The 16046-nt window shown below is 45.4% G+C and overlaps 1 long non-coding RNA gene and 1 pseudogene across 2 annotated transcripts; one reads left to right on the top strand and one right to left on the bottom strand.

Annotated features, from left to right (window-relative positions):
* TUBB8P9 (tubulin beta 8 class VIII pseudogene 9) lies at nucleotides 93-2435 on the top strand (annotated as a pseudogene).
* LOC105373122 (uncharacterized) lies at nucleotides 2252-15022 on the bottom strand. Of its 2 annotated transcripts, XR_001738507.1 has the most exons (8): nucleotides 14364-15022; nucleotides 13726-13839; nucleotides 4763-4934; nucleotides 4370-4585; nucleotides 4055-4165; nucleotides 3843-3950; nucleotides 3577-3740; nucleotides 2252-3485 (listed from the first exon to the last, which is right to left on the bottom strand). It is a non-coding gene; the product is annotated as an uncharacterized LOC105373122 (long non-coding RNA). The 2 variants fall into 2 exon arrangements; XR_949232.2 differs by having other exon boundaries at nucleotides 13726-15022.
* Nucleotides 15023-16046: the final 1024 nt, after the last annotated feature.

The raw sequence follows: 16046 nt of genomic DNA on the forward strand, positions 1-16046 counted from the left end.
AGTAAAGCTGTTGCTTATTCTGGGAGCCCAATCTGAGGCTGGGGGAGGTGGGCGCGGGGTTATTTTAGCGTTGGCGGAGCACTGGCCCTGTCGCTGCGCTCCTGCTCCTCCTCGCGTTTCTCCTGCCGCCCTAGTCCAGCAGTGGCCATGAGGGAGATCGTGCTATGGCAGACCGGGCAGTGCGGGAACCAGATCGGTGCCAAGGTTGGTGGCCGGGGCTCTGAGGGCCCAGCGCGGGCCTGCCGGGTGGCCCGAGAAGATGTTGGCAGCGGCTGGGGCTGTATTGCGGCCCCCCGTCTCCGCGCCTGGGACGCGGTGGAGCTGGGTGGCTGGCTAGGCAGCCAGGGCGGACCCCCAGGGATCCAGCGGCCTGGGGGTGGGGATAGGAGAGGGGCTGGGGAGCCTCGGGCTCCCTGGCCTCCGTGACTCAGCCCTGGCCTGTTTGGCCCCTCGTGTCTCTCGCAGTTCTGGGAGGTGATCTCTGATGAACATGCCATCGACTCTGCTGGCACCTGCCACGGGGACAGGGACCTGCAGCTGGAGCGCATCAACATGTACTACAACGAGGCCAGCGGTGAGACCCCTGTCCTTCCCCAGCCGCCCTCCTGGGAATGGCGGCCCTCTCCTCGCTGATGCCCTCCCGCCCCCGTCAGGTGGCAGGTACGTGCCCCGCCCTGTGCTTGTGGATGTGGAGCCGGGCACCATCGGCTCTGTGTGCTCAGCGCCATTCGGGAGGATCTTCAGGCCGGACGACTTCATCTTCGGTGAGCTGCGGGTGAGGACTGGGGTGAGGCTCCTTAGCCAGGGCCGCTCAAATTCAAGGAGTGCCCCAAAGTCATCGCTGTGGGAACTGTGGAGCTAGGGCCCCTGAACACCCTCCCATCCTGAGTCACGCAATCTCCTTCTCCTAAACGGGCTTTGGGAGGAAGGCCCAGCTGTCTGCCTGAGAGGAGCTGCTGATGCAATCTTTCTGCAGGGAGCTGGGCTGGGGGCAGTGGCTGCTGCTTTTCTTGGGGATGGGCAGGAGCCACCTGCAGCCAGGTCTGTTGTGTTAGGCTGTCTCAGGTTCGGCTCCTGACTTAACTTCTAACAGGGGAGGCTGCTGTCCTTCAGCTTTGGGGGAGGGAGGTCCACCTGCTCCACCTGCAGGGTGAATGGTGCTTTCACCTCACACGTGACACTTGGCCCTTTTTTGCATTGTGGTGACCCCTGATGACTGTATATCTGGCCATCCAGCGACTTGCTGTGTTGTCTTACAGGTCAGTGTGGGGCCGGGAACAACTGGGCCAAGGGGCACTACACAGAAGGTGCAGAGCTGAAGGAGACGCTGATGGATGTTGTGAAAAAGAATCTGAGAGCTGTGACTGCCTGCAGGGTTTCCAGCTTACCCACTCCCTGGGTAGGGGTACCGGGTCTCTGATGGATACTCTTCTCATCAGTAAGATCTGGGAGTACCCAGACAGGATCATAAACACATTCAGTGTTCTGCCTTTGCCCAAGGTGTCAGACACCGTGGTGGAGCCCTACAATGCCACCCTCTCAGTCCACCAGCTCATGGAAAATGCAGATGAGACCTTTTGCATTGATAGTGAAGCTCTGTAGTTCTGTGTGACATCTGTTCCAGAACCCTAAAACTGCCCACACCCACCTACGGTGACCTGAATCACCTGGTTTCTGCTACCACAAGTGGGGTCACCACGTGCCTGTTCTTCCCAGGCCAGCTGAATACTGATCTGCAAAGGCTGGCCACGAACGTGATCCTAGTTGCCTGGCTACACTTCTTCATGCTTCGCTTTGCTCCACTGTCCAGCCGGGGCAGCCAGCCAGTAGTACTCGGCCCTGACCATGGCTGAGTTCACCCAGCAGATGTTTGATGCTAAGAATGATGGTTGCCTGTGAGCCCCGTCATGGCCACTACCTGACAGTGGCTGCCGTTTTCAGAGGTTGCATGCCCATGAGGGAGGTGGATGAGCAAATGTTCAATATTCAAAATAAGAACAGCAGGTACTCTGCTGATTGGCTCCCTCACAATGTGAAAATGGCTATCTGTGCCATCCCACCCAAGGGGCTAAAAATGGCCACCTGCATTGGCAACAACACGGCCATCCGGGAGCTGTTCAAGTGTGTTCCAGGCCTTCCTGCACTGGTACACGGGCGAGGGCATGGACGTGATGGAGTTCACCGAGGCGGAGAGCAACATGAACGACCTGCTGTCTGAGTATCAGCAGTACCAGGACGCCACAGCCGAGGAGGAGGAGGTGGCCTAAAGCCTGCCCTTTCTGGTTAAAGGGGGGAAGTGGTGTGGATTCTCTAATGTGTTCTGATAGCCATGTGTCACTAGGCACTTGTTTGTGTCTTCACATCTCCTTCTGTTGCATTTTAAAGCCTTTTTATAGTATGTGGTTTTGCCTGATAAAACATCCTAACAGCATCTGGTTTCACCTCCAACTTCTTTCTCTAGGCCCTCTGGGTGCTGCTGCCAGATGGGCATAGTGGTCCTGCAAGGCTGCAGCTATCTTGGTCTTATATGCCCAGGAACAAGCATTCCAGTGGCTCCAGGGTTGGGGGGGTCAGCATGGGCTTTGGACATGGCAGACAGGCTTCACACAAACTTGGGCGTGCCCTGGGCCTTGGGCATCTACTTGGTGGGAAACCTGTTCCTGAAGGCAAGCTGCAGCTTATCCCATGTACTGAACTCTGAGGGGACTAGCTGATCTTCTGTTTTTGGAACTTTAAAAGTGGCCAGTGATCCCGGTGGACAATGTCCCCAAAGTCCCACCTCTGGGTAGGGATATGGCCAGACAGCTGGCCCTGAACCAGCAATGAAGGGTAGGCAAGTAGAGCCTCAGCCACCCTCTCACCATGATGGGTTGAGTGTGTCCGTGTGGCCTCATTTTCTTCATGAGGAGGGCATGGGGTATCTGGCAGGGAGTAGTGGGCAGGAATCAAGCCCACCGTGTACTCACATGCAGTGAAACCCATGTAGAAAGGGATAGGCCCTGGGGGCTGTAGATGCGGTTGCTGGGTCTGTGTAATCTGGGCAGTCTCTAAAGGCACAGATGGGGTTTCTCAACAGGACCTGGGGAGACAGGCAGGTGCTCACAAGTGCTGCTTCCCCCAGCTGGCAACTAGTGAGGAGAAAAGTACCCGAGTGGAGGTCTGACCTGCCTCAGTCTGGAGGGCTGATACACACTGTCTTCTGTCTTCCCTGTCCCCTGCTCCAAAATTTCAGGGCAAAAATAATCCAAGATTGCCAGGATGAGACAAGCAAGGGTGGCACATTTGGTGATAGGCCCTTTAGCTCAGCCGAGTCTCCTCCGCAGCTTCTCAGGGAGGCTGGACTTCAAGACCTGCTTTGGGGAAGCTTCAAATAAGAGATGCGTGTGTGAGCTGGGTGCTGGGCAGCATGCCTGGACAGTTCTCTTCTACCTGGCTCTTGTAGAACTCGTCCATGGCCTGTGTGATGACCTCTTGGTATCTCCTCCCTGCATCACACAGATAGACAAGATGAAGCCAGCACAGCCTCGGGCTGGGCAGATGAACGGGTTCTATTCCAGGTCCCCTGGGCATACCCACCTGCCTCCGATGTGTCAGGGAAAACGGGTGAGGCTCCTTTCTTTTTGTTCTCTGAATGTTGGCAATGGCCTATTGGGGCCAAATGGGAACAGGGAGGCAGAGTGCCTCATCTTGAAAGACGTGGCTCCTGGAAGGAGTGGGAGAGGTCCCCCTACTCCCCGAACCTATTCTCAGAGCAGGAAAAGGGGCCTCTGTGACAGCCCTCCTCAGTGGCTCTTACCCTCTGAGGGGTGTCCTTGCCCAGCCCAGCCCAGGTGTGCACCCACCTGAGATGGCCTTGTGTGGTTGGTTGGGAAGGTTCACCTGCAGCAACCACTGGGACCTGCCCACACCTAGTGTCTCCACTTGTGCGTGGGGTCAGATGTTCCTCCCTCCTGCAATGGTAGAGCCGGAGTGGCAGAAGGGGCAAGTCACTGCTGCGGTTCCCACCTGAGTCTGAGTGGGGGTCAGGCATGGTACTCATGTATTTCATAATTACCTGGTTTCATCTGGGGGGCTTCATGGACAGGAGTGGTGCTCTTCCAGGCCTGTTTTCCATATGCCAGCTGTAAGCCTGGGTTTCCCAAGTTTCTGGAGTCCCCCTTCCAGCCTGGCAAGCATGGTGGGTAGTCAGGGAAGGACATTAAGCCTACAGGCAGCACAACCTATCTGGGTATGTTCTCTACCCCTGGTGGCTCCTGGTTGTTTACCACCCTGGGTGAGAGTCGGCTTAGGATCTTAACATTCTTGTAGGACTTCAGAACTGTACAGACAGGGGCCCAGGAGGGAGCAGGGGCTGGGACTGGCAGCTAACCAGTGTAGTAGTGTGGGTCACAGGGCTCAGTTTGGTCTCAGCAGGGAATTCAGGGAAGCTTGGGTTTGCTGAAGTCCTAGATGAGCTTGGGCTTGGATATGGGAACAACATGGAGCAGGGGCCCTTCTGCACACTGGAGTCTTTGAGTAGTTGCACCCTGGTGCATCCATAGGTATTCCCCACCTGGAGTGCAGCTGTGGATAGAAGCCAGCATAACTGTGGAGGGAAGAGGAGGAGGAGGCAGGGTGAGTCTCCAGGGCAGCCCCAGCAGCCAGGCAGGGCCTCTGCAAGTGAGATGCAGATCCAGCCTGTTGGCCACTTAGCAGCTGCTTGGCTGGCTGCAGGTCACCTGACCTCTGCTCACCAGTAAATGGGGGTTGTGGTAGCACCTACCTTCTGAGACTCCTGCAGCTTTGAAGGGGCAGCACATACCACGTGCTGAGAATGTGCCTGACTCAGGCAAGCTTCTCCAGCAGCACCACGTCAAATTAACATCCAACTTGTACAGGACACCATCAAATCTCCCCATCCCTCATTCCAACTGTAGGAAAAGGGAGCCTCTGTCCTAGGGGAGCAAGAACAGGCATATTTATGCAGTAGGCACATGGCCCAGGTTGGGGAAAGGCCATTGGATACATGTTGGTTTCACCAGGAATCTGTGGGGTGGGTTCAGCCTAGTCCCCTGTACCCCAGGATGTCAGTAGCCCTCTGCACGGGACCAGGACTGAAAAGTGCGTGGGAGGGCTGAGCTTCGAGGGAAGCCATTATTTGGCCTCATGGGAAGTGGTGCAGGTGGTTGTTGGTGGTTCAGTTTTGCAAGGCCTGTGTGATCACCCAAGGAGTACAAATTGCCTTTTTTAAAAAAAATTGCTAAAATTGATGCAGCTCATCAGTTGAAAAGGTGAATAAGGCTGAGAGTCGGCTTCACCTGCCCCTTCCCCAGAAGTAACTGCTGTTCAGCACCTGCTCCTTCCCCAGAAGTAACTGCTGTTCAGAGATGGGTTTGATTCCTTCCAAGCCTTTCCCCTTTGCATGCAGCTGTGTACACGTACTTAGGTGTAGACATACACCTGTTCCCTGGAGGGGTTACTTTTATTTTTTTATTTGGGGGATAACTAGTGAGGCAGCCTGGCATTTGCTCGTCTTGTCTTTTAAGTGTGGAGCCCTCTGTGGAGTGGGCACCAGGTACTTACTAGCTGGCCTCTGCCAGCTGTTTGGCTGACCCAGTTTCTGCCCTTCACAGACATGCTGGCCATCTGGTGTGACATTCAGCAGCCTTGTTCACAGCTAGTATAATGAAACAAATGGATCAGTTACCTTGTAAAATTGAAAAAGCATATAACATGCAGAGAGAAAAGAGTAAATGACCATGTGTATACTGCTCTGCTAAAGTCCATATTACATGACTGAGATGACAAAAATTTTTTTCACCTGACATTTGGGTCCTGAGAAAGGGCATTGATGTGTTACTTTTTTTTTTTTTTTTTTAGATAGAGTCTTGCTTTGTCACCCAGGCTGGAGTGCAGTGGTACAATATTGGCTCACTGCAACCTCCGCCTCCCAGGTTCAAGTGATTCTCTTGCTCAGCCTCCCAAGTAGCTGGGACTATAGGTGCATGCCACCAGGCCCAGCTAATTTTTTGCATTTTTAGTAGAGACGGGGTTTCATTGTGCTAGCCAGGATGGTCTTAATCTCCTGACCTCATGATCCACCTGCCTTGGCCTCCCAAAGTGCTGGGATTACAGGTGTGAGTCACCTTGCCTGGCCTTTTTATTTATGATAGAGTTAGAAGAAATGCTACCATGCTTTCTTTTCCATGATCCCCAACTCCCACTTCACCCCCTCTAGAGGAGCTCACCTGGTTAATGACAGCCTGGAATTATTTGAGCCAGGTCACTGTATAAAGGTCATACTGATTCTGTCCTCTTGTGCATCACTTGCTCAGCTCAGATATTTCATAGCTCCCTGTATACAGGTAGATGTGTTACCCTCTTAGCCTGCTTTCTTGGTTTGATACATGCCTGAGAGCATGTGAGAGCACTTAAGATCTGGGCTCATGGGAGGACTGTTCTGCCCACCCCATCTCTCCAGGTCAGCCTGCATGCATGCCTTCCTCCATCTGGTTCCAGAGTAGGGGAGGTCTCACATTGACCTCAAGTTTATGTGACTTTTTCTACCTCTACTTTCCCAGACAGCCCGTGCTGTGGGGCTTGTAAGGTGCCATGGGGATTTGTGAAGTCAATATCTACTTTTCTTGTTTGGGTGTTTTATAAATTAGAGCCCTGGAGGGGAATAAATATTACAGGTACTCCAAACCCCTAATATATAATAAACATCTAAGCCTGTCCTTTTTTTGGTGGTAAAATGTACATATCATAAAACTTACAATTTTAACCATGTTCAAATGTACAGTTCAGTCACATCCAGTATATTCACAGTGTTGTACAGCCATCTCCTTTATTCATATCTACAACTTTTTTATTCTAAACTGAAACACCATACCCATGAAGTCATTGTATAGAAGATTGATGCATTTGACTCTGTAAAAATTAAAACTTTCTATGAGAGAAAAATGCCTCAAAGTCAAAAGTCAACAGACTGGGGAAATAGATCTGCAACATACATGACAGACAAAAAGCTAATTTGGGTAATATATATATAAAGCTATCATAAATTATTAAAAGACCTGGCTGGGCGCAGTGGCTCACGCCTGTAATCCCAGCACTTTGGGAGGCTGAGGTGGGCGGATCACCTGAGGTCGGGAGTTCGAAACCAGCCTGATCAACATGGAGAAACCCATCTCTACTAAAAATACAAAATTAGCCGGGCGTGGTGGCACATGCCTATAATCCCAGCTGCTAGGGAGGCTGAGACAGGAGAATCGCTTGAACCTGGGAGGCGGAGGTTGTGGTGAGCTGAGATCATGCCATTGCACTCCAGCCTGGGCAACAAGAGTGAAACTCCAACTCAAAAAAAAAAAAAAAAAGAAAAGTGAGATTTAAAAGTAGACTAAATTGTCCATGGAATACCCAGCTATAAGACATGGAGCCACGATTAAAACTGGCATCTGATTCTAAAACCTGCGCTGGTAACTACTGTCATCGCAGAAAACCTTCCTTGATTGTTCTACATGAATTAACTTATCTGTCTCTTTCTCCTCTCACTCTTCATTTTTTTAATTAGTACTCATTACTACCTGGCGTATGTGTGTAGAATTTTTTTTGTAGAGATGGGGTCTTGCTCTGATAATCATACATGTATATTTTTAATTTGCTGTCTCTCTTGCTTTTTTGTTCACCGTTCTCCTAAAATAATTCCAGGCATTTGTATGTGATTTGTAGGTATTGGTTGATATTAAATGAATGAATGTAATTAGTGTATTCTGTACACCATCAGTACATATACTATTAAAGATGTGATAGGTTTCGTGTTTTCCTCTCTTTATATTGTTATTCCTATATTGCAGCAGTCCCCAGTCTTTTTGGCACCAGGGACTGGTTTTGTGAAAAACAACTTTTCCATGGACTGGACAGGGGGATGGTTTCAGGATGATTCAAGTACATTACATTTATTGCATATTTTATTTCCATTATTACTGTATTATAAAATGAAATAATTATACAACTCATCATAATATAGAATCAGTGGGAGACCTGAGCTTGTTTTCCTGCAACTAGACAGTTCCATCAGGGGATGATGGGAGACAGTGACACCCAAAATGTGGTGCTTATGTCCAATCTACTCTGTAACCTTGTTTTGGTTGCTGTCACTGCAAAAAACCCTGCTTCACAAAGACAGGATGTTGGAAATGGAAGCAGGCATTTCAGTGATACTATTGACAAGGAAATGTCAGTGCTCTGTGGAGAATAGCAATGGCTACACTGTCCTTAAGTTTTACATAACATTTGCTGTTATTGATCCTCCTCTGTGCTCTTTTTTTTTCTGATATATTTCCTCTCATCTTCCTCCTCTTAAATGGTACATATAATCCTGTTCTTTGATTTCTAAATTTTTTAATGCTTTTCAATGCCTGCAGGTCTTTACTGAATACCTCTATAATCATTTAACTCCAATTCTATTTCAATAGCTAAACTGCCCATCTGGTATTTCCATTGGTTATTATACTTATCACAAACTTGGTAAATCTGAAATTCGGTGCTATAGATAATTTTTTTGTGGTAGTTTAAAAATATGTTCAAAAATTATTTGAAAGTCTTCAAAAAGTATGAGGCATCTTCAAAAAGTTCATAGGAAGTGCATATTATGAAGAAACTATGCATAGATTTCAAAAATATTTTGCACCTAAATAAACTTGTACTAACTTCTTATAACATGTCTGAACAGGATCTAATTTGAGGAATTATAATAAGAAAACTAAGACACCAATTTGAAAAGAGGTCCCATTAGAGCAACATGAATTCTGCTAAAATTAAAGCAAGAATAAACATAAAATTTATAGCAATATGGCAATTTTGGGTGAATAGTAAAATCACTGATTCTTTTATGACAAGTTTATGAGAACACTGCCCCCCAACATTCACAAGTTTACAAATGAATAACTCATTTGAAGAAGGGATACGATGTTGAAGATAAAGCCTGCAGTGGCAGACAATTCACATTAATTCACCAGAAAAAAAAAAAAACTTGTTCATGCCCTGCTTTAGGAATGACAACAGCATAAACAACAGCTAACATCATAGCCATCTCAACTGGTTAAATATACACAATTTTGAAAACTTTTCCACTCAATAGATTAAAAAACTCTTGTTTCCACATCAGCTGCAGACAAGAGCAGGGCTTTCAACTGAAATTTTACATAAGTGGAATCAAGATCCTGAAGCATTTCTTCAAATAATTGTAAGAGGAGGTCAAACACAGCTGTTCTAGTGAAATCCTCAAGACAAAACACTATAAAAGCAATGGCTACCAAGAGGTAAAAGTGGTCCAGTCACAGCAAAAGGTGACTGTCTAGAACAAAGCTCATAGCAACAGTGTCTTAGGATGCTCAAGGCATTTTGTTTGTTGACTTTCTAGAGGACCAAAACCAAACCCCAATAACACGTGCTATTATGAGAGTATTTTGAGAAAGTTAAAGCTTTAGAAGAAAAACTTCCAGGAAATTTCACCAGAGAATTCTCCACCACAACAATGTTCTCCTCATTCCTCTCATCAAAAAAAAGACAATTTTGCCAGTTTCAATGGAATATTATTGGGCATCCACCTTTTAGCCCTGATTTGGCTCCTGCTAACTTCTTCATTTTCTTTTCTGATCTTAAAAAAATCAGAAAAAGACGGGGGGATGGTTTCAGGACACCCATTTTCTTCAGTTAATGATGTAAAAAAGACTATCTTGACATGGTTAAATTCCCAGGACCTTAGTTTTTGTAGGGATAGGTATTATTGCTTATAAAAGTGTCTTGCATTTGATGAAGCTTATGTTGAGAAATAAAGTATATATTTTGTTTTTGTGTTTTACTTTGTTTTTTTTTTTTTTTTTTTTACAAACTTATTGAAGTCCTTTCATTGATCCTAATTTTCTTCCTCTTGAAAGTATGTCAAGTTTAATAATCCTCTCTGGTGAATAGAATGTGACAGAAGTGAACAAGTGTGATTTCTGAGTCTAGAGCATAAAGATTTTGCCACTTATGCTTTGCTTTTTCCTAAGCACTCACTGTGGAAGAAACCAGCAATTATTTGGTGAGAACAGTCAAGCAACCTTACAAAAATATCCATGTGAAGAGAACCTGAGGCCTTCAATTACAAACCCCACCAACTTGTGGGCCGTGAATGTGAGCAAACTTGAAAGTGGATCTTCTAGTTTCGGTCAAGGCTTTGGATGACAGCCCCAGTTAAACTCTGTAACCACATGAGATATCCTGAGGCACAACCACCATGATAAATTGTTCTTGAATTCCTCATTTACAGAAACTCAATTAGGTAATAAATATTGTGATTTTATGCCACAAAGTTTTGGGGTTATATGTTATGAAATGATATATAGCAATTTCACACTTTCAACATCCATTTTATTTTTTATACAAACATACATTTTTAATAATGGAGATATATCTTGAGAAACGCACCACTGTGTAATATTGCTGCATGGACATCATAGAATGTACTTACACAAACCTAGGTGGTATAGCTATACCTAGGTGGTATAGCCATACCTAGGTGGTATAGCCTATCACACACCTAGACTATCTGGTATAGCTTATTGCTCCTAAACTACAAACCTGTATAGCATGTTACTGTGCTGAATACTGTAGGCAATTGTAACACAAGGGTCAGCATTTGTGTATATAAACATAGAAAAGGTACAGTAAAAATATGGTATAAAAGATTTAAAAATGATACACTTGAATGGGGCACTTACCTCAGGTGGTCTGCTAATTTTCATGGTCACATGAAGATTCCACTGAGATATATTCTGCACTACCCACTGCCATAGGTGACAGCCTTGACTATGTGCACCACCCATGAAGGTCCCCTTTGCCTTGCTTTTCCTGACTTGTCAAGTGCATGATGATGTGGTAAGCCAGCATAAGAGCTGAACTCTGTTCTTTTTCTATTGAGTTCTGCAGCTATTTATCCTGAGTTTGGTGCCTAGATTTTGTAGACTCCATTTCTTTGACATTCTTGGTAGAATCAGGCCATCTTCATCTCATTGCGCTATCCTTGTGTTACTGTTATGTGTTATGATGCCTAAAGTTATTTTTTGTAAGAATAACCCAAGGGTAGGCCATAGGCATAGGACCTTTGAGCCTATTGTTTGAGCCAACCTCACAGAGAGGACAGTTAGTGGTTTTCCCTGGATCAGCATCAATTTGGATAAATATTGCTGTCAGTTACTATGAAACTGGTTACATTCTCCTTTCACTTTTTTTGTCTTAAGAAAACATCTTTAATCCATAGAGCATGTTTTCTCTGGTTTTATACCCACCAGGATCACAGGCTTTTTTCTGCTTTAAGATATGGCCAACCATCACATTAGGGCCTAGACATTAGGTGCACAGAATTACATACAAACTGTCCTCTAAATACTCTTCATTTTAGGACAAAACTATTGGTACTTATATATACTTTTATTACAATTCTTACGCTTATTTCTCTGAATAGCATTACTTCATCAAGGATTATTTGAAACTTTAATGGCCACATTAATGATTGACTAGAGAAACATTGTTCCTTTGAAAGGCATGTTAGAAAAACCAAGATTCCTCGGGTCCAATGGGCAGTATTTTTAGTTGGTAGGCAAAGGAGTCCACATATAATTCTGAATTAAACATTGCTCCACTAAAATATTCTGTGGTTAAAGATGGCTAAAGATGAAAAATTTTACAATCAGAAGTAACAAAAACTAGATACATTTTTTAGTAAATCCTTCCCCTCCTTGTCTTTCCGTTGCTTCCTGGTGTGCAGCTCTCCCTCCTGCCCCTTAGGATTCTGATCTCTCTTCTCCTCTGCCCCACCACTGACTTCTCCTTCTTGCTTTTTGTTCTGAAATTATTTTCCCAACTGTCATAAATTCCCAACTTTCTTACATCTAAAGATCCACATTTACCATGACCCAGATATATAAGCGACTGCAGAATTTAAATCTAGCGCATGAGTTCAGAGTCTACATGAACTAACAAGTTATACATGAACTAACAAGTTATAATTAACAATTTTTAAAAACTAAACAAAGTCAAATATTCATCAAATAATTTAGAATTATTTAGGGCATACATGGCCCAGGGTTACTTGACATATCAACTTGTACACCTGTTAATTGGAACATCAGATGCTAAATCCTGGATGATGAAATGTCTGACCTGGTAGGAAATTTGTAGAATTCCTCTTTCCAGAATAAATATCAGGGTCAAAATCATTCATAAAAACATGAATAAAATTATTAAATTATAGAAGAATTTGGAGATAGACTATAAAACATTGTCAGAACTCAGAGTTAAAACGGGTTTTTATTAAAAATCTATGTAAAAGTTATAAAACTTAAAATCTTAACTGGGATAATTATATAATAAAAGCTATCATAAATGCTCAACAGGAAACTTCAGAAATTTTATTTTGTCATTTATGTTTTACTATCAACTATAATTACTGTGTTTCTTGTAAGAAATATACCATTATGAGGTGATCAGAATCAGGTAAGGAGGTTAGACATTCCCTCATTTATTCACCCAGCAACCCTGCCGCAGAACTAAACCTGTGCGAAGTGCCCTGGTGGGCCCAGCATGTGGTGCTGGGAAATGATTGAGTGGCCCTTTCCCCCACTCAAGGAGCCCACAGTCTGAGGATATATGGACAAAAACACTAAAGCAAGTGCATATAAAAGAAGAGTAAATGCTATAATTAAAGTAGGATGTTGGGAGGGAGGGCTGGGGAGCCATAGCATTTGAGGGACCCAAATGCCTCACTGAGGTGACATTTATGCCATGACTAGGATGACAACAGAGGGCTAGCCCTGCACAAGTCTGGGAACAGTGTATCAGGGAGATGCCACTCCTGGTGCAGAGACATGCAGGCAGAAGTGACTTTGGCAGAGGATGTGAGAAAGAGGCCAGTGGGGCTAGAGGGAGCCTGGGGAAGAGAAGTAGAGAGGCAAGGAGGACTCTGAGGCCTGGAAGAAGAAGATAGTGATCTGCTTCTCTCTGACGTCATTATCCCCAAACTTAGCACCTTCGAACAACAAATGCTTACTTATCTCATGACTTAGGTGGACTAGAATCTGGACACAGCTTTGCTGGCTGCCTGCAATGAGGCTGGGGCTGTGTTCTCAGCTGAAGCTGGGCTGTGGGAGGATTGGCTTCGAGGCACACTCATGTGGGTATCGGCTGGATTCAGTGTAGACTGAGAGCCTGAGAGTCTCCCCTGGCCTGGGCACTCCCTCATTCTCTGTTGTGTAGGCCTCTGCACAGGGCAGCTCATAACACTGGAGCTTGCTTTCTGAATTTGAGGAATGCAGTAGAAAGTCAGGAAGAAAAATACATATTGACAGAGAAAGAGAATGAGGGAGAAAACACTGGACAGAGTAAACAGAAGAGATGAGAGAGATTGAGGAAGAACACACAGAAGAAAGTGACTAGGAGAAAATGGCAGCTTTTTGGATAATAACATAATGAGAGTTGCAATAGACTAAACATTTCCCCACCAAAAATTGTATATGTTGAAATCCTGGTCCCCCGTATAACAGTACTAGGAAGTGGGGGGTAATTAGGTCCTGAAGGTGAAACCCTCATGAGCGGGATTACTGGCTCTATAAAAGAAACCCCAGAGAGCTCCTTCCTCCACTATCTGTCAGGTAAAAATACAATGTAAAGTCTACAGTCTGCAACTCAGAAGAGAGTTCTCACCAGACTCCATCCATGCTGGCGTTCTGATCTTCAACTTCTGTCCTCCAGAACTGTGAAGAAGAACATTCTGTTGTTGATAAGCGGCTCAGTCTATCTTTGCTATAACAGCGTGACCTAGGACAGAAGTGTTATCCCATCATTTTCGTTGCATTCTGTTGGTCAGAAGTGAGTCACTAACTCCTTAGTGTTGTGAGCCCTTCCTATAGGCTGCCCAACACATAGGCCAAAATGAAGGACATGGGTCTGATTCTGAATATAATGAGAAGGCACTGAAAGGAGTAATGTCAGAGGATGACAATATCTGAATTTCATTTCATCGGAAACTCTTACTGGTGCAGAATGAAAAATGGGGCTGAGAGGGGAAGTGACTTTCCAATAACACACTGCTGGACACAGGCTTGTTTGAATTGTATTTTATGCTACCTCCCATTCCTTATAATTCTTTTATCTCTAAGTGTGTGCGTTATCTACGTGGGATGCCACACCATGAGTTTTACAAGTTTTATCTCATACACACCTGATGAGTTCCCTAGGAAGGAGATGCTGGCATGTTACCCCATTGTACATGTTGAAAGGCCCCAAAACCCACAATAACTTTTCTGGTGTCACAGAACTAGTAAGAAAAAGTAGATTGTTACCTGGATCTGTGATCTCACACCTGAGGCCCTGGCTGCATTCAGGTCTTTCCAGGGAACTGAGAAGGGCTGTACTTGCATAACTGTGCACAGGTAAAGAGTTGACATGCAGGGATAGTGAGCAGTCAATAGCCCAGCAGGGCCTTTGGGTAGGTCTTATGGAAGCCAGGAGCCCAGAGGATGAAACTTTGAAAAAGCCATCTTACTACCTTGGTGACAGACCCCAACAAAACTTAGAACTCTGGTAGCCAAGCACCCACACCCTAGAGACAGCCCTGTATCCAGGTCACTTGGTGGGAAATGCTTAAGAGAGCATGATGTGCTCCTGCTCTATCCCAACTCTCTTAGGCTCTTGCTTCAGGAAGGCCTAAAGTGAAAACCTTTTCTGAGATGCTCACATTGGCTTATTCCTCACCCAAGATGCCTCTGGAGATTTTGCAGAGGTCACCCAGAGGTAACATACAGTAGGCCGAGGGCAGGCCCCTCCAGCCTAGGTCTCACCAGTGCTTTCATTTCCCTTTGCATTAGAATGTAAAGAAAAATCAGGAATTTAAAATAGCAAAAATTGACCAAAACTACATTTTTGTTAGATTGCCTAAGGTTCTGTGTTGTTGTTGTTTGTTCGTTTGAGACAGGACCTCACTCTGTCACTCAGGCTAGGGTTCAGTGGCACAATCATAGCTCACTGCAGCCTAGATTTCTTGAGCTCAAGCAGTTCTCTCACCTCAGCCTCCCAAGTAGCTTAGAGACTACAGGTGCACACCACCACATCTAGCTAATATGTATTTTTTATTTTTAGCAGAGATGAGGTCTCATTATGTTGCCCAGGCCTGTCTTGAACTCCTAAACTCAAGCAATCCTCAATTTTTGATACATAGCTTTGCTAGGTGTAGGATTCTTAGTTGACAGTTTTTTTTTTTTTCTGTGAGCACTGGCCAAGGAAATTTTAAAAGAAGAAATAGAGAAACTTCAAATAAGTCAATTAAATGAACAAATCAAGAGCTAAGAAACAACAAAGAATGAGTACTGAGGTTGTAGTTATGGCAGCTAATGATAGAATAGATCCAGTTAGAGAGTTCAGGCAGAATTGTATTTGTAGAGAGTAGAAGTCTGAGGGGTGAGGGTGTCCTGAATGAGGCCAATTGGAAGACTTGTTTGTTATAGAATCAAAGACAACGCGTGGGAACATACCATGCCAAACCCAAACAGGCTGAGCTGGTGCTCTGTGCTAAGATATATAGGTTTATGAAAAGAAAAGCTACCATTATAACATCGAGTGTTTTTCTTAATTAAAAGAATCACAAATGTGGCAGTTATAATCAGGGTTGAGTTATACTTCAGGTTTGGTTGGTGGGTGTCACAAAGCCAAAAGTTTATCTGTTGCCAAGAAGTCGGTGCTCTAGTTTGTGAAATAAAACATCCCCATGACTAGAAACAGTAGAGGAGAAAAAGGAATGGGATGGCAAACACAAGTTCCTGACCACAATCAGGCACAGCAGCTGTGCTGCGTTGTGGTGAACTGCCCCCCAGTCCCTGGTGCCAGCAGACTAGAGCGGCCAACTCAAACCACAGATATAGCGACTGCCCCTCCCCCCGGGAACGTGGTCCATCTCCGCCTCTCCAGCCTTCTGCCGCTGGCCAGCTGGAATTCCAAGTCAATGGGTCTTAACTTGTGAGGCGCTGTGG

This window comes from Homo sapiens, chromosome 1 (genome assembly GCF_000001405.40).
Source record: "Homo sapiens chromosome 1, GRCh38.p14 Primary Assembly".
Classification (NCBI taxonomy): domain Eukaryota; kingdom Metazoa; phylum Chordata; class Mammalia; order Primates; family Hominidae; genus Homo; species Homo sapiens.